The 25,731-nt window shown below is 42.0% G+C and overlaps 2 long non-coding RNA genes across 3 annotated transcripts in view; one reads left to right on the top strand and one right to left on the bottom strand.

Annotated features, from left to right (window-relative positions):
- Positions 1-24,973, top strand: part of LOC105370324 (uncharacterized) — a 179,291-nt gene extending 154,318 nt beyond the window's left edge. Inside the window, exons 4-6 of one of the 2 annotated variants that reach the window (XR_007063845.1) lie at positions 9,376-9,616; positions 22,910-23,241; positions 24,554-24,973. This is a non-coding gene — a long non-coding RNA (uncharacterized LOC105370324). Of the gene's footprint in view, positions 1-9,375; positions 9,617-22,909 lie in introns of both variants that reach the window. The other variant, XR_931663.3, reaches the window with a different exon arrangement.
- On the bottom strand, positions 6,619-15,538 carry LOC105370325 (uncharacterized). The gene is made up of 3 exons (XR_001749969.1): positions 15,435-15,538; positions 7,944-8,166; positions 6,619-6,784 (listed from the first exon to the last, which is right to left on the bottom strand). It is a non-coding gene; the product is annotated as an uncharacterized LOC105370325 (long non-coding RNA).
- Positions 24,974-25,731: the final 758 nt, after the last annotated feature.

Genomic DNA, 25,731 nt, shown 5'->3' with positions numbered 1-25,731 from the left:
ATCTTTTAACATTTGAAAGCCGGGTGATTGCCACACGTTCACCTCCTAATGTCTGTATTTATATTGGTGTCTTAACCGAAAGGCAGGTTACAACATCAGGTCTTGGACATCCTGAGATGATTACTAAGTGTTGGAACTGAAACTTTCAACTCCAGGGGCTCCAAGGTGATGTTGTGTTTGTTATATTTTAAAAAGGTGATGGGGTTAATATTTGTTGAGCACTTACTATATGTTATACACATTCATATATGGACAATCCCCAAAAGAACCCTATAAGGTAGGCATTATTATTCATATCTTATTGATGAGGCAATTGATAAGAGATTAAATACTTTTTCAAAGTCTCAATAGAAAAGGGCAGTGTTAGGATTTGACACGGAGAGATGTGACAATATAGATATATCTCTTCTCATTCTTCAACCTGTTAATTTCAAGACTCCTTTGCTGTCTCTTTTTTCTGTGCTTGACCTTTTTATTCTGATATTTCTCTAAAGTTTTATTATTGGCCCATATCTCTTCTACTTCCCCTAGCAGGAGTTTTAAACAATCTTCCAGATCTACGTGTCTAACCTGAATGGTCAGTGGTTTACCAGATGTCAAACAGACATGGCTTCTTTCTTCAGTCAGTTCATCTATTCATTCACTATTTATTGAAAGTTACTATATTATAGTTATTGTCTTAAGTAAGGAGTATCAAATGTGATGTAAGACATGGCATTGCCCTCGAGGATCCTTTAGTTTCAGTAGCTCAACCTGTTCAAACCCCATCCTCTCTTATGTCTTCATTATAGTAAGTGGAACCACCATCCATCCACACCTGCAGGGTAAACACTAGAAAGTCATCCCAATCTCTTCCCATTCTTCCATCCAATAATACAATTGACCTCCAAATCCTGCCAGTTCCAACGTCCCCTCTTCAACCTCTCTTGTGCCTTTGTTCATGCCCTCTTCACCTATTAACCCAATTACTACTGTTGCCTCCTTGATGCTTTCACTACCTGCTTCCTACTTGGGTTCAGTCTCTACATATGCCAGTGTAGGTTTGAGCAGATTATTCCTTGGCTTAAATCCCTTGAATTGCTGTCCTCTATGTATAGGATAAGATCCACACTCTCCACAAATCACACAGCTTTATATAGCAAGGTCCTCATCTCCTGCAACCTGGTCCCCTACCTCTTAGCCCCTCAAAACCCACCGTTGTGTCCCCTACTCCAGCCACAACCATTTCATGCTTCCATGACCTTCCTAACAGTATCCCTTTGGTCTGAAATGATCCTCCCTCCTTACACCATGTATGGTAGATTTCATACAACCTACCAATCTTTAAATTTCAGCAAAATCATCACTCCTTTATTAGGCCTTCCTTGACTCTTCCAGGGAGAATAAACTATTCTCCCTTTATGAGCCCTAAAAGAATCTTACATATTTATATCACAGTTAATATTTTAATATTAATACAAATTACTAATTTAAATATTTACTTAACATTTAATTTTAATTTAAATATTTGTATTATAAATTTGATGGTAATATAATGTATTAATATAATTAATAATTTTTAGGGGTTATAGCATAATCTTTAAAAAAGTATTTGCTTACGTGTCCAAATTTATTTCCTAAACTCCTCATGGAAGGAGTTATGTGTTATTCATTGTCACATCTCCAAGACCTAGCAAGTGCTTGGCATGGGTCCCATCTGTCTAATTCAATCAACGTTGAATGAATGAGTGAATGAGTGAAGATGTGATTCAAAAGCACTCCCCAGTACACCCTTGCAATGATAGGGCACTAGGCCCCATAAAAAGCAATTCACTGCTTTGTCTTTCCTGCTCATAGAAGAATAGAAAAATACTCAACTATCTTCTGGAGTAGCTCAGCTTTGTAACTCGCTTTCTCAGAGTCTACTCTGAAAACACAAAGAGCCCTTGATTGACAGCTGACCTGAAGCAAGTTCCCTTCTAAATCTATACCAACAAATGCTGGCAGTTTCTCCCTTAAAACACTGCTGTTATAAAACCGTCAATTTCCTTGTTAGAGTTGGATCAGGGTTTTGCTCATCTAATGTTAGAATTTATAATTGGAAATTCTGTTTCCTCTGCAAGCTGGCAAAGCAACAGTGCTCATCTGCTTGAAATCCTGAAAAGAGAAGTAAATAATAACAGTGGGGAAGAAGTTAGTACTCATTTTAAAGGCTGTAGGTACTTCTAAACTATTACTTTGAAGACTTAGCATGGGGAAGTATCAGCTGTAAATGCTGGGCTATGTACGTATTTGTTTGCCATTAGAATGTTGAAGTTTTATTCCTTAGATCTACAGAGTATCTTCCTATTGTCCAACGTCTAGGGCTTTGCACTTTCTTTTTTACCAGATGGTAGTGCTAAAATCATTTTCAAAGTGAATATTTTAGCTTTAAAAAAATAAAACATGAGATGGCATGTATGGAAAATTAGGCCAATTTAATTTTGTTCACTATTTTGTTAAAATAATTTTTAGAATATTTCATCAATCTGGACATTTTCACAGATATTTTTATCAGTTCAGCCTGTTCTGTATTACTTACCAGTCTGGTTGCTATGGCATGACAATGATTTTTCTTATTTTTTTCCAAACAAATAATAACTTTTCTGTAACAATGCACTTAGGTTTTAAAAAGTGCATACTTGCTCTTCAAGGCTATTTTCAATTGTATAGACCAACTGTACTTTAGCTTCTAACTGTCTTTAATCTTCAGTGTTATTAGAAAAGGATTCATGTCCTTGGGGACAGAGGGTTTTTAATTGAAACCCAAACCCCACAGCACTAATAAAATATTCTGTGATATAGCAATATGAAGGTTATTTAAAGGAAGAAAAGAGCAATAATTTGGTTCATTCAAAAAAGTGAATAAACTCTGGCCCCAATTTAGAGCTAGGAAACTAGATCCTATCTAGCAGGGAACCTGCTTTGATCTGTCTCTTCCCAAAGCATTTGTCCAGTAACCCCAGTTTAGCATTTGATCCCTCCCCTGTGTACACCACTCCACCACTGAATTATAGTCTTCCAAGGAAAGGGACTCCGACGGGTCTTATAAATCTCTGTGTGCCCACAGAGTAGAGCACTGGGCGGGGCACTGGTGAATGTTCAGTGAGGGCCCCACTTCTGAGTGGTGGATCAGGTCTGTAAAGCACAGAGGTCTTCCCTTAGGCTTCTCCCTTCAGTCCCTCCAACCTCCCAATCCAGTGAATGGGAAGTGCAAAGAGTGGCTCAGAAAAAAAGAATGAGATCGTGTTCTTTAGAGCAACATGAATGGAGCTGGAGACCATTATCCTTAGCAAACTAACGTAGGAACAGAAAACCAAATACTGCATGTTCTCACTTATAAGTGGGAACTAAATGATGAGAACACATGGACACAAAGAGGGGAACAACAGACGCTGGGACCTACTTGAGGGTGGAGGGTGGGAGGAGAGAGAGGATCAGAAAAAAATGACTATTGAGTACTAGGCTTAGTACCTGGGTGATGACATAATCTGTACAACAAACCCGTGTGACATGAGTTTACCTATATAACAGACCCCGAAGATGTACCCCAAACCTAAAATAAAAGTTAAAGAAAAGCCTGGAGCAAAGCTGCAAAGCTGACCCAGGAACCTCTCTGGCCTCTTACATCCTTTTGTCATCACCGCTGGCTGGGGCTACAGAGCAAGGTGGCAGACGCATCATGCCTCCATCTTTCTAGTGTTCCTGAAGTTTCCTCTCCAGGAAGACCTACATCAGAACTCCTTCAGTCCAGTGGATCTCAGACCTACCCTCTCTTTCTGTTTAAATGACATTCAAGTAGAGGAAGCCCGTCCTGTCTCTTGGCTTTCTGTCTTCCTTGTATCTGACACAGATGTGTGGAATCATTTCGCCTTTCAGAACTTCTTTGTAGGGAATGAAAGCTGTTAAAGACTACAACAGGTTGGGTGACAAAATAATCCTAAATGCTTTCTACAGCTATGTCTATTCAGAAAAAATGTGCATATCTGTGCTTTTAAATGTGGTATCAGGGCTGCCTTATGACTTTTGTGGATTGTAGACGCTTTCGCCATTGGAGGTCCATTCCTCCATAACAAATATTAAAAATTGTATCTTATGACTGTTGGCTTAAAGACAATATAATCCAGGCTAGATTACAGATTTTTCTGCTGGTTTTAGAAGAAATTAAAACATTTTCATGGGCCTCTACATGGGACCCATGTGGACCCTGTGTACTGAGCTTCCCTTGCCTAATGGAAAAGTCAGTCCTGTGAGGTCTAACTTAGCTACAGGCCGGGCGCGGTGGCTCATGCCTGTAATCCCAGCACTTTGGGAGGCTGAGGCGGGCGGATCACCTGAGGTCAGGAGTTCAAGACAAGCCTGACCAATATGGTGAAACCTCATCTTTACTAAAAATACAAAAATTAGCCAGGCGTACTGGCATGTGCCTGTAGTCTCAGCTACTCATGAGGCTGAGACAGGAGAATTGCTTGAACCCGGGAGGTGGAGGTTACTGTGAGCCAAGATTGCGCCACTGCACTCCAGCCTGGGTGACAGAGCGAGACTCCATCTCAAAAAATAAAATAAATAAAATAGCTTAGCTATGACTTGCAGGAAGTACTCAAATCTCACCCTAGGTAACCAAAACTCAGAATCAGATCAGGGACGTTTCCACCATCCCCACTGGGTCCCCCGTCTCCATCCCAGTTAATCCTGTCGCCACCACATCAATTAGTTTTGCTTGTTGTGACTATTAAGTGGACTTGTACAGTGTATACTATTATGTCTGGCTTATTTTGCTCAACAGAATATATGTGATTTGTTCATGATGCTACATATAATACAAAATCATTCTTCTTTATTTCTGACACAACATTTTATATATCTATTCTTCTGTTAATGGATATTTATGTTTGCAGTTTTAGGGTACTGTGAAAAAATCTGCTATGGACATTCTTGTGCATGTATTTTGGTAGACAAAACATGCTTGTTTCTCTTGGGCATATACCTAGGAGATTTATAAAATATATGTTTTCAGAGTGGGAGTTAAGAGTGTTTCCAAATCAAGGTGGAACATTAGTATTCCTTTTACCTAAGGTTTGATTTCTTAGCATTTGTTCTGACAGCAGTGCTAAAGTTCACTGACCCAGGCTTTGAGGTATCCTAGAGAAGTGGTTCTCAAAGTGTGGTCCCAAAACCACTAGCATAGATATAATCTGAAAACTCGCTAGAAAATGTAAAATCTCAGGCTCTACCCCAATCCTACTCTATTAGTCCATTCTAAGACTCCTATAAAGAACTGCCTGAGACTGGGTAATTTATAAAGAAAGGAGTTGTAATTGACTCACAGTTCTGCATGGCTGGAGAGGCCTCAGGAAACTTACAATCATGACAGAAGGCAAAGGGGAAGCAGGCACCTTTTTCACAGGCAGCAGGAGAGAGAGAGCTGGGGAAACGATCAGATCTCATGGAGCTCCTTCACTATCATGAGAACAGCATGGGGGAAACTGCCCCTATGATCCAGTCATCTCCCACCAGGTCCCTCCTTCAAAGCATGGAGATTACAATTTGACATGAGATTTGGGTGGGTACACAGAGCCAAACCATATCACCTATGGAATCAGTAACTCTGGGAGTGGGACCCAGAAGTCTGTGTTTTAACAGACTCCTCGGGGGCTCTGATGGAGCTTAGCCTAGCCTCACACTAAAGTTTGAGAACCACTATTTTAAATGTGAGGACCTGTGGGGAGCTCCTATCTTGCCCCCAGCAGATAGGCTTGGGGCCTGTCAGGGCAGTTAACACAAGCACTGCATTTTCTCTCAGCTGTTGGGTGTTATTTTAATGGAGTGAGGAATAGCAGTAATTATCAAAGGAGAGCATGCAGAAACTTTGCAGATTTTTAAAAATAAGATGAGGACACCTATATCAATCTGTCAGGGTTCAATCAGACAAGCAGAACCACTAGGATGCACACACACAGTGATGGTGAATTTTATGTGTCAAAATTAGTTAGGCTATGATGCCCAGTTGTTTGGTGAAGCATCTGTCTGGATATTGCAGTGAAGGTATTTTTTAGATTTGATTAGGATTCAAATCAGGAGACTTTTGAGTAAAGCAGATTGTCCTCCATCAGGTGAGTGGGGAGCTCTTCAATTACTTGAAGGTCTTAAGAGAAAAGATTGAGGTCCCCCAAAGAGGAAGGACTTCTGCCTCCAGACTCAAAACTGCAACATCAACTCTTGCTGCAATTTCCAACCTGCTGGCCTGTCCTACAGATTTCAGACTTGCCAGCACCAAAGCCCCACCTCAACTGTATTAACTGCTTCCTTAAAATAAATCTCTCTCTGTATGTCTACACATAGATACATAATACAGACACACACACACACCCTATTTGTTGTTTCTCTGAAGAACACTAATATATACACATGTATGTATGCCTGCCTGCCTTCTTTCCTTCCTTCCTCCCTCCCTCCCTTCCTCCTTTTCTTTCTCTCTCTTTCCCTCCCTCCCTTCCTCCCTTCCTTCTTTCCTTGCTTTCCTTACTTTCTTAGCTTGCTAGGGCTGCCATAACAAAGTACTGCACACTAAGTGGCTTAAAGAACATAAGTTTATTTTCCTGAAGTTCTGGAGGCCGAAAGTCTGAAACCAGGGTGTCGGCAGGTTTGGTTTCTCCTGAGGCCTTTCTTCCTGGCTGCAGATGGCCACCTTCTCATCGTGCCTCTCTCTGTATTTCCTGATACAGTTGACTCTTGAACAATGTGGGGGTTAGGAGCACTGACCTCCCTGCACAGTTGAAAATTCATGTATTACTTTTGACTCCCCCAAAACTTAATTACTAATAGTCTACTGTTGACCGAGAAGCCTTATCAATAACATAAACATTCAATTAACACATATTTTATATGTTATATGTGTTTTATACTGTATTCTTACAATAAAGTAAGAGAAAAGAAAATGTTATTAAGATAATCAAGGAAGAGAAAATATATTTACTATTCATTAAGTGTAAGTGGATTATCGTCCTCATTATCTTCTCATTGAGTAGGCTGAGGAGGAGGAGGAATTGGTTTTGCTGTCTCAAGGGTAGCAGAGGTGGAAGGGGAAGCAGGAGAGACAGACACACTCATTGTAATTTTTATTGAAAAAATGTGTAAGTGGACCTGCACAGTTCAAACTTGTGTCATTCAAGGGTCAGCTGTATGTTTTTCTTTTAAGGACATCTGTCAGATTGAATACTGACAGGCTCATTGTAACTTAATCAGCTCTTTAAAGGACTGGTCTCCGAATAGAGTCAGATTCTAAGGTACCAGGGTCTAGGGCTTCAACATATGAATTGTGGGCAGATACAATTCAGCCTCTTAACTCTCTCTGTCTTATCTACCCATCTGTCCTCTCTCTATGATCTGTCTATCTGAGTTTGTTACAGGGATTTGACCTTCTACAATCATGGGAACTGCTTAAGCAGCCTCTGGATGGCTGTAGCCTTTGCCTTTGGCACTGGAGCTTAAAGTCCACATGTCAGAAAGTGAAGATGGATGTAAACAGGGATCAAGAACAAGTTAGAACTCACAGCATGAGTCCCATGCTGATGGACCAAAATCTATGCCATTTTTGATGACTTGGACCATAGTGTCAAGGATATCCTGCAGAACCCAGGACCCTGGGAACTAAACACATATCTGGACCAGGCATCATAGAAGCTGAAAAAGGATCCATGAGAAGGGAGAAGAGCTGCAGCCTCAGCTGCTGCGCCAGAGCACTGAGGCGAGTCAGCAGATCAGTAACAATCTTTGTGAGCTACAGAATGGCTACTCCTCCCCTTCTGCCTCCAGAATGTTTCTTTTGACCCACCCAAACCAGAAACATACAGGGAGGGATTTCTGGGAAATGAAGCTCAGCCTAGCCAAGCTGACATGTCACAAAGCCACGACAGCACCCTTACCAGCTCATAGAAGCAGCTGAGACTCCGCATTTAGTTTTAGAAAGAGTAGTAGGTATCTCAGATGAAAATGTGTGAACTTTCTCCTTCAAACATGCTCTAAAGGTCATGGGATTTGGAGACAGAAGACCTGGCTTTAAGTTCCAATTCTTCCCCTGTATTATCTGGAAAAATCACTGAAGTCTTTATCGAGTGCCTTAACTTCTCTGATGCTCAGATTCAGCATCTGTAAAATGAGAATAGTATTGTTGGTAGAGGGTTGGCAGACTTCCATGATATAATACATGTGAGGTTTTTGTTGTTTTTCTGTTGTCCTTAAAATCGCAGACACTAAAATAAAATCGATCCTGCTTTGCTTTGCTTTTTGATGATGGTGTGTGCTGATGCAGCATACAGACAAGTCTTTTTCAGAGAGCACTGACACATGCCTACTTTCATAAACTCATTTTCTCTTCTCACCTGACTTGCCGGCAGAAATAGGAAGTTCATATGCTACTTTTGAGCAGGAAGTAGAAGACAAGGTGCAGGAAAAGACAGGCTCTTAATGAGGCATTTTATAATATGTAAAAATATTTCAATATAGCACCCATTCCACCTTCACCCCCACAAAAGAAATGGTGATTTGTATTTTATTAATATCTTTATTATACAACTATATTTTAATTGTCCATATTTTGCTTGCAAACATCCCTGGGGACAGGAACTCAAGTGCCTAGGACTTCCCCTAGCATAAAATGGTGCTTCCAAAACTTTTATAGTGAATTGAGAATTCATTGCTTTACAGCTACCTTTGTTTATAATCTCTAGTAAAAAATAGCTACAAAACCACATATGTATATTCTGTCTAGAGAGATGACTTTTAAAAAAAAATTTAAAAGCTTGGCTACCCTCTTTAGTTGTATATGTCTGCTATCTCCTCTACAATTTGTCACCAAGGAAGGACCAGGTGAACACACAGTAAGATACAAGCCAGGGAGAGAGCCCTCACCAGGAACCCAGTCTGGCAGCACCTCAATCTTGGATTGCCCAGCCCACACAACTGTGAGAAATAAAGGTCTGTTGTGTAAGTCACCCATTACAGTATTGTGTTAGAGCAGCCTGGACTAAGATACCTAATAAGAAAGGCTTGGGCTCTGATGTTCAAATATTAGCTCTGCCATTTGCTTGATGAGTTTCTGAGTGTTTCTGAACCTCAGTTTCCTCAGCTGGAAAATGATACCAGTGGGACTACTCGCATTGTAGAGGTTAACGCTCAGGGCTGGTAAACCTGGCGCATGGTGAACATGCAGCAGATCTCTGGTGTGGGTGGAGGCACCACATCTTAAGTGCCTGCCCTACAATAAGCTGTGATTTACAACAGGAACCTAAAATTTCAGCTTCATTTTCTGCACTGTTTTTCTGATTTCTGGATGAAATTGTCTTTATTTTCTTCTAGAAGGAAAACAAAAAGATGCCTTAGTTCCATGGAAGGCTGCTCTGAGGGATATTCTGCTAAGTGGCATCCAGACAGAACACGGAGAAGCTCCTCGATTGCGTCTCTCCCCTGCCTTATTGTTTCCTGCTGCCCTTGACACTCCACTGTTTGGGCTATTGCAAGGTTAGAAGGATGCTCACGACCAACGAGACAGAGTCCTTTGCATATGGCCTTGAGGATGTGTGCTTCTGAAATCTAACAAGTAAGTAATAAACAGGCAGTTCTCAGAGCAAGAGGCTAAGACTGCTGCTTCACTCGGAGGAAACAAAGCTTTTCAGGGGTGGGTTACAGGTTTCCACGTCGTGAGGCAAGCATCACCTTTTATCAAGAAAATATCCTGGTTATTTCCTTCTATGTTCAATAGAGTATATTGATTTAAGGTTTTATAGGACTGCATAATTATGTTTTATCACAAAGAAAAAATTGAAGTCATAATAAAATAGTTAAAATACACACACGTTGGCTGGAAGTGGTGGCTCAGGCCTGTAATCTCAGCACTTTGGGAAGCTGAGGTGGGAGGATCACGTGAGGCCAGAAGGTTGAGACCAGCCTGGGCAACATGGTGTGTCTGGAATTGGTGGGTTTTTGGTCTCACTGACTTCAAGAATGAAGCCGTGGACCCTCGCGGTGAATGTTACAGTTCTTAAAGGAGGCGTGCTCGGGGTTTGTTCCTTCTGATGTTTGGATGTGTTCGGAGTTTCTTCCTTCTGGTGGGTTTGTGGTCTCGCTGGCTTAAGAGTGAAGCTGCAGACCTTCGCGGTGAGTGTTATAGCTCTTAAGGCAGCGTGCCTGGAGTTGTTCGTTCCTCCCGGTGGGTTCGTGGTCTCGCTGGCTCAAGAGTGAAGCTACAGACCTTCGAGGTGAGTGTTATAGCTCTTAAGGCAACGTGCCTGGAGTTGTTTGTTCCTCCCCGTGGGTTCGTGGTCTCGCTGGCTCAAGAGTGAAGCTGCAGACCTTCGTGGTGAGTGTTACAGCTCTTAAGGCAGTGTGCCTGGAGTTGTTCGTTCCTCCCGGTGGGTTCATGGTCTCGCTGGCTTCAGGAGTGAAGCTGCAGACCTTTGTGGTGAGTGTTATAGCTCATAAAGACAGTGTGGACCCAAACAATGAGCAGTAGCAAGATTTATTGCAAAGAGCAATAGAACAAAGCTTCCACAGTGTGGAAGGGGACGCCAGCTGGTTGCCACTGCTGCCCCGGGAAGCCTGCTTTTATTCTCTTATCTGGCCCCACCCACATCCTGCTGATTGGTCCATTTTACAGAGAGCCGATTGGTCTGTTTTACAGAGAGCCGATTGGTCTGTTTTACAGAGAGCTGATTGGTCCGTTTTGACAGGGTGCTGATTGGTGCATTTACAATCCCTGAGCTAGACACAAAAGTTCTCCACCTCCCCAGATTAGCTAGATACAGAGTGTGGACACAAAGGTTCTTGAAGTCCCCACCAGAGTAGCTAGATACAGAGTGTCGATTGGTGCATTCACAAACCCTGAGGTAGACACAGGGTGCTGATTGGTGTATTTACAATCCCCTAGCTAGACATAAAGATTCTCCAAGTCCCAACCAGACTCAGGAGCCCAGCTGGCATCACCCAGTGGATCCCACATGGGGGCCGCAGGTGGAGTTGCCGGCCAGTCCCGCGCCCTGTGCCCGCAATCCTCAGCCCTTGGGTGGTCGATGGGACCGGGCGCCGTGGAGCAGGGAGCGGCGCTCCTTGGGGAGGCCCGGGAGGCGCAGGATCCCACGGCAGGGCGAGGGCTTGGGGAGGCTCAGGCATGGAGGGCTGCAGGTCCCGAGCGCTGCCCCCAGGGGAGGCAGCTATGGCTCGGCAAGAAATCGAGCACAGCGCTGGTGGGCCAGCACTGCTGGGGGACCTGGCGCACCCTCCACAGCAGGTGGCCTGGGTGGTAAGCCCTTCACTGCCCCGGGCCGGCAGGGCTGGCCAGCCACTCCGAGTGCAGGGCCCGCCAAGCCCACGCCGACTGGGAACTCCAGCTGGCCCGCAGGCGCCATGTGTAGCCCAGGTTCCTGCTCGCGCCTCTCCCTCCACACCTCCCCGCAAACCGAGGGAGCTGACTCCGGCCTTGGCCAGCCCAGAGAAGGGCTCCCATGGTGCAGCGGTGGGCTGAAGGGCTCCTCAAGCACAGCCAGAGTGGGCGCCGAGGCCGAGGAGGCACCGAGAGTGAGCGAGGGCTGTGAGGGCTGCCAGCACGCTGTCACCTCTCAATGGCAAGACCGCCATGTCTACAAAAAATTTTAAAAATTAGCTGGGCATGGTGGTACACACCTGTAGTTCCAGCTACTTAAGAGGCTGAGGCAGAAGGATCACTTGAACCCAGGAGGTAGAAGCTGTAGTGAGCCATGATTGCACCATTGCACTCCAGCCTGGGTAACAGACCAAAATCCTCTCTCAAAAAAAAGAAACAGACAGACAAATAAATACTTTGTACTTTCTGTCCAGTTTTGCTGTGAACCTAAAACTGCTCTACACAATAAAGTAAAAAATTTTTTAAAAACACAGAATTTCTTAAATGCTTATGATTGTAAACCTTGATCACAAGTAACATACTAGGCCTAGTGAGTTTAAACTTCTCTCCAAATTGGTCAAACATGTGTTCTCTGCATTTAGGGAAAGTAACACATAAGCATTTACAGACACACATACACACATACACACACACGCCAATAACGTACTGGTTCAAGGAAGCACCACATTTAAGTGCTTTAAGTGTTTCTTTATGATAAAACTTGACAAATGACAGGAATGATGGGAATTGCAGAAAGGATGGCAGGCCAGTAGGGGAAGGTGCTTTTGATCTGGGAAATGTGCAACACCTCTTGGTTAATTAGACCATAGAAGGAGCTGTGGAAGGGGCACCCTATTGCTTAACACCCTGTGGCACAGACTCATTAGCTTTGTGAATTTCCTTGGATTGATTGTTAGAGTTATAACCTTAAGTTATTCCCTAGTAGTAATTCTTTGGAGCAGATATTGAGCCTTTACTTTAAACCTAGAACTGCATTTGTTATTGCTAATCCTCACAGCAGCCCTAAGAGGTCAAGTATTTGCATCATTTAGCGTTCTTTGTGGCAAGCAACAGAAACCAACACTAGTTAATTTTACCAAAAAAGGAATTTGGAATTTGTTAGGCTTGCAAGGAGGGGGACAGTTAAACATACAGGCTGCAAGGAAGAACAAGAACCAAAGCAATTTTGGGAGGTTTTATGAGCAGGAACAAATGAACAATTTGTTCAGGCAGTCTCCAATGGCTTTTGGACCCTGGCTCAGTCCTACAAATGATGGGGTGGTGGGGTGGGGGTGGTGTCTTGATTGTCCTGGCCTGAGTCACTCTTAGCCCTTAGAATACTTTGATTGACAGTCTTCCCAAAGATTGCATGAAATGGGGGTAGGCTTTACCCAACAAAGGGAAATGAGGGATGCTGTAACCAGAAGAGGCAAGGAAAAGATGCAGCAAAGGCAAAGATCAAACATATCTTCCACGATATCACCTTAAGTTAAAGATGGAGAAAGAGATCCAATGTTTAGTTATGTTCAAATGCCAAGGCACATGTGTCAGTGACAACTCTGAGATAGGAACCTCTGTCTGCCCAATGCCCAAGAACCTGTTATTCCCCTCCTCCCTTCCTCTGTCAAGCCCTCTTTATGCTACAGAGTATAATAGCACAGAGGTGACATCCACCTTCCAGAAGATCCACAGGCTTGTGTTTATAAACCTTTTGAACTCTTCTGGGGAAATGCTTGGTTTTCATAGAAAGGAGTCAGCAACACTGCGTCTGATCTCCTTTCATGCATTTCTACTTTTTTCTTTCGTGCTACCTCAGTTTTAATTTCCTTTGCTGTACCCATGCAGCCCTTGTCCCCAGTGTAAACAAGTTGGGAGGAACTGATGAGTGGGCCAGGTTGACAAGGGGAGCACGGTAAGCACAGGAGGAACCCATCCAACAGGACGCAGCCTGGATCTATTTCAGCGGTCTCCGTGGGAACAGGGACCAGGCAGCTCAGCCGACCTTCTCCACTTGACTCTTCTCTTCTTTTATTCCTTTCTGCTCTAGCTGTCTTTCTCTCTCTGAAAATAATAGTTCCAAATAATCAAGCTTTAGGTGGTGTCAGTAGCCAGAAACATCCAAGGCTGACTAGACAGGAAGCAAAGTGTTCATTTTGAATTTAAAATGAGAAATCTAGGCCTATTTCAGGAGTTGGTAGTTGTGGGGTGGTGACCAAGTGTACAAGTTTAAGCTGATTTCTTACCCAATAATGAACATCAAATAGGTGAGCAGTGGCTTCATCAACTTTAAAAATGTGCCTGGACTAATGATCCAAGAGAAAAATACTATTCTGTTATTATAAAACACAATATACACAGATATATACAACTCTAAACATTCCTGGTTGATAGTTAATTTCAATATGGTTAATTCTATTTAAAGATTACACAAACGAGTTGTTTGTTTATACTGGTCATTGAGTTAAAAGTGGTACAGTTTGGGCTATGGCTTTAGTTTCTATTATTAGAAGAGATAATGTTTGTCATGTGCCTAGTGCAGTGACCAGGATGTGGACGGTGCTCAGTAAATGCTTGTTTCATTACCTTTGTGAAATAGAGTAAACTTTAATCATTGTTCATATCCTCATATACTTCACTGTTCTTATTTTTAAATGTTTCTTAACTATCAGGGGCCAAACACATGTCATTTTTCTTTCTGGAATCCATCAGTGCTTTTCATTAGCTCCTGATGTCTTACCACTCAATGTATGGTCCATGGACCAGCTGCAACAGCGTCACCTGAGAGCTTGCTGGAGCCAGAGAAACTCAGGTCCTAGCCCAGACCTCCTGAATCACAATCACATCTTGAAGTAATTTGTTTACATTTGTATACATACTGGAGTTGGAGAAGCACTGACTTGCTGGATGAGGCTCGAGCCTCTTACACTGGAATAAGATTTCTCTCCTGACTCTCACTCCAACTCCTGCCATTTCCTTCGTTGGGATTTGAACTGAAATTCCCCAGAGACACAAAGCTGTTTCCTGTCTCTGGCCTTCTCCTGTGCTATTCTCTTTGTCTGGAATATATTTCTTCTTTTATGTCTCATTAATGCTTGCTCTTTAAGACATGCATTCATTTTTCACTCTATATGTATTTATTAAGTACGTATAATGTTCCAAGCAGTATGCTCAGGTACCCTCTCTAAGAAAGACCCCACTGAGAATGGTGACCTTCCTTTCTTGACTCTAAGGGACCAGGCATAACTCTGTCATTGATTTATTATAGGTGGCCTTCCACAATTCTCTTCATCTCCCCTGTACTTAGCATACTTCCTGGTCTTCAGAAGATGCTCAGGCAGTGTTTTGTTGGATTGAACTATTACACTTAAAGGAACTAGTGATTGGGCTTGGACCACTAGGTGATCTCTGAAGTTATTTTTGACCCAAAGTGAGTATCCTCTTTGCCCACAGACCACATCCATACACTGTCACTAGCCAGGTGCCCGAGGATAACTTCTAATTCACCCAAGGGCCCTGTGCTGGCCAGGAGCAGTAGTGACAGATTCCCATATTCATTTATACATTGAACAAATTTGAGAGTTGAGAGTGTCACAGGGAGAAAGGACTCAGCACAGAGACCTGAGAAGATGATCACTGTGAAAGGCACAAAATGGGCTCGTGGCTGTGGCCTCTTTGCCAAGCCTCTTCCAGCGGTAGCTACCCTGCCCTTAATCTGAGCTGCAGGCCATCTTGTGAATTAGTGACTGGAGTCGAATTTCCTACTGGTTCCCCTACCCTATGGAGAGACACACCTGTGGGCAGCTCCAATGATGGTGACCACTTAGGGGATGGCATCTTTGTTGGCGCAGAGAGGTAGTCACAAGGGGGTAATGAAAACAAAGACTTTGCAGTGATGAGCAGAAACAGTGGAGGGACACAACATAAATGATTAGAAATAAAGTAAATGATTAGAAATAAATGAAATAAATAGAATAAGTCAATGAGAGGTGGAAGAACCTACTTAAAACTTGGATCGTGGAGCCAGGCTGTCTGAATCCAGAACCTAGCTCTGCCCATTAGGAGATGGACGATCTTGAGCAAGCTGTTAAATGTTCTATGCCGGAGTCTCCATCTGCAAAGTGGGAATAATAATAGCACATACCTTATGAGGATTAAACAAATTATTATTCATAAAGTACTTGGAATAGTGCCTGACACATTGTAAGCACTATATTGTTTAACAACTAGAAACCATGCAATTGCTCGAAAATAAAATCAAACACCTCATTCTCTTTTTATTGTTGTAGCCTTCATGCTGGAATTCACAGTACTTCATGGGTTTTCCCTGGGTCTACGATGGGAGTGTGTACATCTTTAAGTCGTTGAGCAAGGCTTCAAAAAAAGGAGCAAAAGGGAAACAGCTGCTTTGCTTTTGAAATGATTTGCCAAGCTCACATAGTTAAGTTTAATGGCTGGGCGTTTTAAACCCTAGAGAACAATGTAATTTGTGTCGCTACTGCTACAAAGGATGACTTTTGGTGAGCGTTTCATTTTGGTTGCCTAAAAACCTAATTTGAACAAAGGAAGCAAAAACAAACACAAATATAGTAATGGAGAAACTCTAATTAGGCTTTGGGGAAAGATTGTCTGGTCCTGTCATGTCTTCACAGGACAAAATAAAAATAACATTGACACCTGCAAAGTTATTTTTCTCAGCAAATATTTTAATTTGTAAGTAAGATTTTGTGGAGGACTACTTATAATTCTAGGAAGTGGGAAACCGGTTCAAGAGGAGGAGGGCTGGAAACCAATATCAAAAGTCTATTATGTGCTTCACTTACAGTATATCTTTTAATCCTCTCAAAACTCTGAAAAGGAGATATTTTCCCTGTTTTACAAGGGAACACCAAGGCTCAAAGAGATTAAGTAACTTAAATAAGTTCATACAACCAGTAAGTTATGTAACTAGAATTTGACTCTATGTCTGCCTGACTCTAAAACCTATGCCTGCTTCAAAAACAAAATTTGTAATGGAAACAAAGCATGTATATTTGAGTTTCTTCCATGTAGCTGCTAGGCATCAAATATTAAATGCTTGTGAAGTTCCAGTATATCTAACATTTATCCTCAAGGAAGACAGAGATATTGCTTCAAAATAGTCTCTGCATTTTGGTAGTAATCATGGGAAATGATGATGATGATGTTGATAACTGCAATGACAACAACGGCAATAATGACAAAAACTGTGGAAGATAAGACAACAATCAACCAATGACCTCATCTTGGATTGGAAGTCTCAGTTTCCTCATGGTAGTACGAGAAATTCCAACTACTCAACAAAAATGAGTATCTTGTGATAAAATTCAGAAAGTGATTAAGGATGTTACTTACTCATAAGGGGAGTAAGAGGGCTTGTAGTAAACCTATGTAAGTGACTCATACCAGCTGACAGCTTGCTGAAAAGGGCTTGTTTAACTGGGCATAGGTTCTTTGTAACATATACGTTTCCTATTACTATAACTCTCTAGGTCAAGAAATCACTTATTCCAGAAAAGGCAGGAAACAATTTTCTTCTTCTTGACATTGAGCCAAACAGTCAATTGAGTCTGCAAATCAACCACAGAGCACTTGCCTTTAGTTGTTGTTGAACACAAGGTGTGTGTATGTGTTTAGAATAGGCTTGCAAGTATCTATAAGGAAGGATCCTGGACCTTCACTGTAGAATAATCCTTGGGTCAGATGCTATACATTCTTCCTACAGTTACCATGTCAACAGAGGGGTCTATGGAATCCTAAAAAGAGAGGTACTCTAAGTTCAGAAAATCTGGAGGATAGCCTGGTCTTAACATGGTCCCTCTTGGTTTTTGACTTTGAGCAAATTATTGGGAGGATGGGGTGAATTAATATATTTTACAATACCTTTTGAACTGAAAAAGCATTATGTAATGTTTAATGAATGTAAACCGATTGTGATGTACTGGACTTTTTTTTCCCTGCTATGCCCTTCTTTTTCCTACCAGAGCTTCTACCATGCTTCTCCACCATCTAGGAAAACAAGAAATGAAGTTTCCTGGAGAGCTTGGATTTCCCTATGGTAAATAAATCCTTCAAAAGTTGCATTTGGGTACTTGGAATAAAGTTTATTGAATTTGCTTAAATATGCATATTTCAGAGTGAAAAACTGAGAAATAGTTGGCTCTGCTGGGAAAAAGTCACACAACTATACTGATGGACATCATGATTTGGGCAACTCTGCCTTCTCCTCTGCTCCTAATTAATCCAATTTGCAAAACAGCAACTGCAAACCTTCTCTTTTTCCCTCAGTCTCCTTCCCCACCTCCTCTTACACACTCTTGGCAGATGCCTATGACTTCTACCTCTTATTGGAAATAAAAGCCACAAGACGGATTTATCCCCAGCTTCCAAATTCCAAACCTACAAACTACATGCTCTCCATCCACCCCATCGTTTCCTTCAGAGTAAAATTCCAATACAGAGATTCTTTCTCCAACTAAGTTTCTGCATCCCTTTCCTTTCCAACACCCCAAAGAACCTCATTATATCAATTATGCCTTCTCTCTTCTCTCACCTTGACCCTTAACCCTCCACTTTCCTTAATAGATCATTTCCATCAGCACCCAATCACTGAATACCAGCATTGTCAATCTGAAAGGAAAAAAAAAGTACAGTAGAATTCCCCCATTGACAGGACAGTTTTTTTTGTTTTGTTTTTTTCTCATGGCTGCCTTAGCGTTCTCCCCTCTGCTTCCATGACATCCACATGCCACAGTACTCTGCTATTTTGCTATTTGGCTTCTGTTTTCAACATTCTGCCAAAACTCCTCTTGCTTGGCTCATGGATGTTCTTGCTGGTAATTTCCTTAGAATGTCTTAAGTCCTTATCTTACTTGATCCCGTAGTAACTCTCAGCACAGTCACCCACTTCTTGAAACATACATTTTCCTGTGTTTTGCAATGCCACACTCTTCCTGTTTGTCCTGCTGCTCCAGCCACCCTGGCTCAGTGTCCTTTGAGGACTCTGGCCACCACTTAAGCTTATTTGCCTCTTGGCCTCCATTACAATGGGAATGCTTCTAACTCCAAATCCTTGTGTCTGGCCAAACTCTCTTCTGAACACCTCCTGTGTCTACATGTCTGGTGGATTCTACTCAACATGGCCAAAACCAGACTCATCATTGTTTTTCCCTAAAGCTGCTCCTCCTCTATTACCAGTAACAACTTATGCAGGTCAGTTCCTCACACAAACACTTCCAGTGCTTTCCCGTTAATCCTCAAAATGAAATCCAGGCTCCATATATCTTTCAGGAAGCTTTAGGCCCTGTGCACCTCCATCTTCAGGCTGTTGACACTGACACTGTGTGAAACTCTGTGCTCCAACCATTTTGACTAATTATGGTGCCCCTGACATCTCATTTTCTTATCCACTTCTGTGTCTTTGCACAGGCCAGTCCTTCTACCTTGAACGCTCTTCCCAATCCCACTCCTGTTCTGTTGCTAACTCCTCCTCATCCCTAGATTTCATCTTAATCGTTGTTTATTTCAGAAATCAATTAGAAGCCTTTCTATGCACACTGGATTTTTCCCAGTAAACCATTTGCTGCATTAATCTTATTGGTTTAAGGGAAATAACAAAATTAGGATGCTACCATCAGTTACAAACTGAGTATTCCTTGGTACTCGTTCTCATCTCCTCTCCCCCATTTTCCCCTCCTGGGGTAGCCGAGTCACCCCTATGCTTTTGTGGCACTTCCATTCTATTTCAAATATTTATATTTGTCTGATGTTAAAAGAAAAATCTTAAGCCAAATTAAATTTAACAGAGTTCAATTGAGCAAAGAATGATTCATGAATCGGGAAGCCCCCTGAACCAGAGTAGGCTCTGAGAGACTCCAGTGCTACCACATGGTTGAAGATTTATGGACAGAAATAGGAAAGTGACTTACAGAAAACAGAAGTCAGGTACAGAAACAGTCAGATTGTAAACAGTTTCACATTTGCCTTATGTGAACCCAGTTTCAACAGTTGGCTGCCTTTGGTTGGCCCTAACTTGGTGATTGGCACACAAGTAAATTTATAGCCTGTTTACACTATCAGTTAAGTTACAGTTTACTATGTACAGAGAAAGCTTTAGGCCAGACTTAAAATATGTAAGGAGGCAGCTGTAGGCTAAACTTAATTTAACACTCAACGGTAGGCCTTGAGCTGCTAGGGTGGTGCTAGAGATTTAAAGCAGTCCATACATGTTTGTTGAATTGAACTGACGTGAAACACAATTTGTTATGGCTCCATAATACCCCCTTATTAACATGGGTAGTAGATACTATACTTGACTTAGCTATTCTCCTATTTTAGACATTAAGGTTTTGTTGTCGTTAAGTATTATGAGTAATTCTGTGATGAAGATCTTTGTGATTTAAGCCTGTTTCCATTGTTTCTGATTATTAACATGATTAATGTGAGTCCTAAAAGTGGAGTTACTCAGAAAAAGTGTATGATCATCTTAAAGTCTTTGACAATACATTGTCAAGTTGCTTTCTAAAATTTTTGCACAATTAAAATTACCATTTACATGACCATTGACAACTTGCATTTCAAACCTTTATGTAGTGTGCATACACATCTGAAAACATCATCTCATTGGAAGAGTTGCAATAGCTGCCTGAGTGTATCGTTTACCTACACTGAGAATGCTGACTGAGTGGGGAATATTGTGGAGTGTGAAGGGCTTGAGCGGAATCCTGCAAGTCTGTAAAAGAAAATAAAGAATATTTAAAGGCCCTGCACAGAGAGTGCAATCTACCAGCAGGCAGTAGAAAAGGGCAGAATTCAGGGGCTGTGATGGTTAATGCTGAGTGTCAACTTGATTGGATTGAAGAATACAAAGCATTGATCCTGGGTGTGTCTGTGAGAGTGTCGCCAAAGGAGATTAACATTTGAGTCAGTGGGCTGGGAAAGGCAGACCCACCCTTAATCTGGGTGGGCACAATCTAATCAACTGTCAGCGTGGCCAGAATATAAGCAGGCAGAAAAATGCGTAAAGAGAGACGGGCTTAGCCTCCGAGCCTACATCTTTCTCCTATGCTGGGTGCTTCCTGCCCTCAAACATCAGACTCCAAGTTCAGTTTTGGAACTCGGTCTGGCTCTCCTTGCTCCTCAGCCTGTAGATGGCCTATTGTGGGACCTTGTGATCATGTGAGTTAATCCTTAAGAAACTCGTATATATATTCCCTTAGTTCCGTCCTTCTAGAGAACGCTAATACAGGGGCTGAGGGTTTTTAAAATTTTTTTGTTCATTTCTTCCTCAGCTTCCTCAACACAGAATATTGATTGCTAATAATGAATGTCAAAGGTTATCATGCAATGTATAGATAAGGCAAAAAGACTTCTTTCAGTTTATTTCATTGTGACCAGAATGATGATATTTGTTGGGTCATCTGTTATGAGTCACAATAGCTCTGTTACTAGCAATCACATTAGAATGTTGAGACATAAGAAACATATGAATCCCCCACGTTGGTGACTAAGAATTTGGTTCTCCTTATTGTTCAATTAGGATATTACCTCTGCCTAATGACCTTTTTCCTCATTCTTCTTGTTGGTTCCCTACTGCACCAGCCACCCTGACTCAGTCTCCTTTAAGGACTCTTGCCCCTTGTTAAGCTCTTTTCCTTCTTGGCTTCTTCCATTACGATCTGAATGCTTGTAACTCCAAATCCATGTGCCTGGACAAGCTCCCTTCTGAACACCTTCTGTATCTACCTGCCTGGTAGACTCTACTCATGTCTGATCCAACAGCTAGCCATGAGTCCTGGGTGCCCTGGCCCCAGCTGGGCCTCCCAGGCCTTTCTGCAGTATGATAGAGGCCACAGGCCAAGTCTCCCATTGGCTTGTTTGTGGGCTTCAGCCTCATTCCATGCAGAAAAGGGATTGAGATTATCAAATGACAGAATGGAGCCATGGTTGATAGGAGAGGTTATCACCAAAAATGGTGATTAGAGAGCAGAACATGAAGACGGAAGATGAGTGTCCTCTCAGGGAAGGATGCTTACGCCCTAAATGGTCAGTGTGATAAGGGTAAGAAGAGAAGGACTAATAGAGATACCATCTGAGCATGGTCTGTGTCTACACACAGGCCAACTATTTTGAAATAAATTTAATTCAACAAATATTTTCTAAGACTGTACCCGGAATACAATGAGAACACAGTCCTCACCCTCCAAAAGCTCTTAGTCTACTAACGTAGATAAAGGTAGTATATACACCAGTAAAAATAGAATGCATTAATGAAAGAAGCATGGAAGAAAGATGGGAATGCTTGCCTATCAGAGGGCCAGAGAAGTGACATATAAGCTACATTTTCTCAGTAGTTATTTTCAGGGTTAACAAACAGAGAAACAGAAAAGAACTTTTGCAAAGTCATGAAGGAGAAAAACACCATGAAGTGTTTGGGAACCATATGCAGTATGGTATTGCTGAAGAGTAACATGCAAAGTGAGGATTATGAAGATATGATTACAATGTGAATCTGGAGCAGTTTTCCTGGATCAGTTGACAAAGGGCCCTGTGGAAAGCACAGTTTCATCTGCAGGAAATCAGTAACTGGAGAATGGCTGGAAGGAATGGGCCTGCAGTTAGCAGAGGTTGGGAGTGCAGGTTCTGGGATCAGACAGCTGGCATTGATATTCTAGACCTGTCAGGTCTCAGCTCTGTGCTTTGGGCAAGTTTCTTAGCCTCTCAAAGCCTAAGTTTTCTCAGTTTTATAAGACAATATAGTAAGCGTGTCTACGTCATCGATTTGTTGTAAGGATTAAATGAGAATAATGTCTAAAAACAAGGTATTAGTATTATCATCATTGCCATCGTCATTTTCTTTTTTCTTTTTCTTTCTTTTTTTTTTTTTTTTTTTTTTACTACTACTGGGTTTTCATTGCAAAGGGTGATTTTTAAAGGGAGAGAAAAAATAGAAGACACAACTAGTTAAGAATCTATTGCAGTATTCCAGACCAGATGGGGAGAGCGTAAACAGAGTCTATGAGAATGGCGCAGGGGATGGTGAGGAGCAGGCTGATAGAAGAAATGGGGTCAATTGTATCTAATGACTCCAAAGAGAGAGGAGTGAAGAATGACTTTCATATTTCTGATTTAGAAGGCGAGGAGACAAATGATGTTACCATGGTAAATAAGAATAAAGAGAAAATAAAGTTGTTTTCAAATCCCTTGTCTGAAATAATCATAACAAAAACAATAGCTTACATTTTATGTATACCATATGCCATGAGTTGGTCTCAGCATTTTACATAAATTTACATATAATAATTGCACCTAACAACTAGTTGGAATAGGTAACATTTTAATTTCAAGTTCCCAGAAGAGGAAACTGAAACCCAGAGAGGTTAAGTAATTTGCCTGATATTTCACAGCCAGGAAAATGGCAGTGTGGGTTTTTTTAATGGTTTTTTTTTTTTTTTGAGACAGAGTTTCGCTCTTGTTGCACAGGCTGGAGTGCAATGGCACGATCTTGGCTCACCTCCTCCTCTGCGTCCTGTGTTCAAGCGATTCTCCTGCCTCTCCTGGGATTACGGGCATGTGCCACCATGCCCGGCCAATTTTGAACACAGACAGCCTGCGTCCAGAATCCCTGCTCTTTCCCTGTATACCACATGGCCTCCTGTGCACGATCCAGAGGAGACATCCAGGTGTTGGATACATGGGCCCGGGGTGCAGCAGAAAAGCATTGCCCCAGTGCACAGCCATATCCATATGCCGTTGGCGCATGGATTGGAACAAAACCATGGAACTCGATGAAGGTATGGCCTAAGAAGATCAAGAAGCTAAGGAGGACCAGCATTATAGGGTGGGCCAGAAGAGTAGATCCAACAAGTGTTAACCTATGGGAGAATGTCAGGGTAAAGCAGGTTGTCAACATGACCCTATGCCATAGAGACATCAGGGCTGATTAATGTATCAGAGAAAGACAGAGAGAGTAAAGGAGAGAGAGACTGATATGGTTTGGCTGTGTCCCCACCCAAATCTCATCTTGAATTGTAATCCCCAGGATTGCCACATATCAAGGGGGAGGGATCCAGTGGGAGGTTATTGGATCATGGAGGTGGTTTCCCCATGCTGTTCTCGTGATAGTGAGTGAGTTCTCATGAGATCCGATGGTTTTATAAGGCAGTTTTCCCTGCTCTTGCACGCTGTCTCTGTCTCCTGCCATCATGTAAGACATGCCTCTTCCCCTTCTGCCATGATTGTAAGTTTCCTGACATCTCCCCAGCCATGGGGAACTGAGTCAGTTAAATCTCTTTTCTTTATAAATTGCTCAGTCTCAGGTAGTATCTTTATAGCAATGTGAGAATGGAGTAATACACAGGCTCAGAAAAGTTCCTTGCATTTGGCAATTGAGAGAATAATGGGATGATGACTTCTGTCAGAAAAGTTTGTGATCAGGAGGTGGGGGTGGAATTCTGACTTGGGTGGGCCAGAGGAACTCAACGGTGGAAAAATAAGTGGTGACATCATAAATTGACACCTGTGAGAGATGGCGGATGAACTGAATAAAGTGTAGGGTATTTAGCTTGTCATGATTGTCCCTGAGAAACAGGTTGCAGGAATGCTACTTGCATTGAATAATTTTATTAGTTATCATTTAATTCCTTTAAATTGATTTCTTTAGTTCCCTATCAGAGACAAGCTCAAACTACACACAATGAATACATCACGGACTTCTCCTTCTCTTTATTTCGCTTCACTCTGGGCAAATGAAAGACAACAAATAAATATTGTGGATCTTGGTATTTAATGGTTTATAATCAGATAATTGTTCACTGTCCAGTACTCACTGTTCCTAATGCCCCCTAATCCTTCAGGCATCACAGATATGAAGTGGATTTGGTATCTGATGCCTTTCTTTTTTTTGTTTGTCAAATGAATGAATGAATGAACCTAGTCCAATCATCTGTTTCCAAAAAGGATGCCGCAAAGTACACTGGAATAAGATTCTAACTTCAGGCCTCTGAATTATCTGAAAGCCTACTCTAGTGTTTAATCACCTGAATCATCAGGGAGTTTCTTCTTCAATTTCATGTAATTATAATATTTTCAAACCATTTGCTCTAGATTGGCCTTCAGGAGAGGGCCAGAAATCAGCCTCCTGCAGCCTGCAAAGTTGGTGCCAGGCTGCTCCATTGCTCATTCCTGGATTCCTGGATGGAAACTCTCAACCCAACCTCATGCTGCCTCCAAAGCCTCCCTCCCCTGCCACGTGTCTTCTCCCTCCAGGCCTCCACTTGGGCAGGGTGAATGGGCTCTCCTCTCACCAGTATCTGCTCTCAACAGCAGCAGCCTCTTCTCCTTCGCTAAATCAATCCCTAAATCAATCCCCATCTACTTTGCATTTGAAAAACATGAAAAAAACGTGGCCCTTGATATCACCTGTTTTATTTTTTGTTTTTGTTGTTTACGCCTTTGCAATTTTTTCCCTCTATAATTGTAGTAGGGCCTTGGGAGTGAAAGATAATAAACAGCTTCTATTTGTCATCTTTTTTTCTTCCACATTCCTTATGAACAAAATTTGTTTCCAGGCTTTGGGGGGTCATGACAAGGTTATAAGTTATGAGTCTACAGAGTCTTTGGGTATGCACTGCCATCTGGATCTACTGTACCAGGGGCTGGCCAGAGTGTATCTTTCCAAAGGAGTCCTGCATCTGCCTGCTTAGGGGATGATCTAGCATTTCCAGCAGACCTGGAGAGGACAGAAGGGGTTGGATTGAGGAACCTGCAAAATCTTGAAAATAGAGGGGGCTTCACGTCATAGCCCAAATGCCTTAGCTTATGAACTGATTCACTAGAGAGCCCTTTTGGAGGGAAAGTAGCAGGCATGTTTTCTGTTCTATCTATGTCTTTTATCCTACTCTGAGCAAGAAAAAAACAGGCCTGTCAGTTCTTTATCCCCAGCAAGACCCAAGCTGGACTTGCATTATTTCTCACTGAAGAAATCCACACTCACTGGCCTGAGTAGGAAAAGAAAATAACAGACTATTTCAATAAACTGTGAGGCCTAAATGACTGGATTACCTAGGTCCTATTGAGACAGAATTTATAGAAAAACAGACTAGAGAGTTAATGAAAATGTAATGAGAAGTCTTCAGGAGATAAAATAAGGGAACATAAAATTTCTGGAATTAAAAAAAAAATGCCTAATTTCTAGATGTAAAGTTAAGAGATGAACTCGAAAAGAGAGCAGTTCCTGATGAAAATCACATTGGTTATCAGAAAGATCAAGTGGAGGAAATAGC

This window comes from Homo sapiens, chromosome 13 (assembly GCF_000001405.40).
Source record: "Homo sapiens chromosome 13, GRCh38.p14 Primary Assembly".
Taxonomy (NCBI): Eukaryota; Metazoa; Chordata; class Mammalia; order Primates; family Hominidae; genus Homo; species Homo sapiens.
The sequence above is the reverse complement of the archived record's forward strand: the minus strand, read 5'-3'. Positions and strand labels throughout refer to the sequence as shown.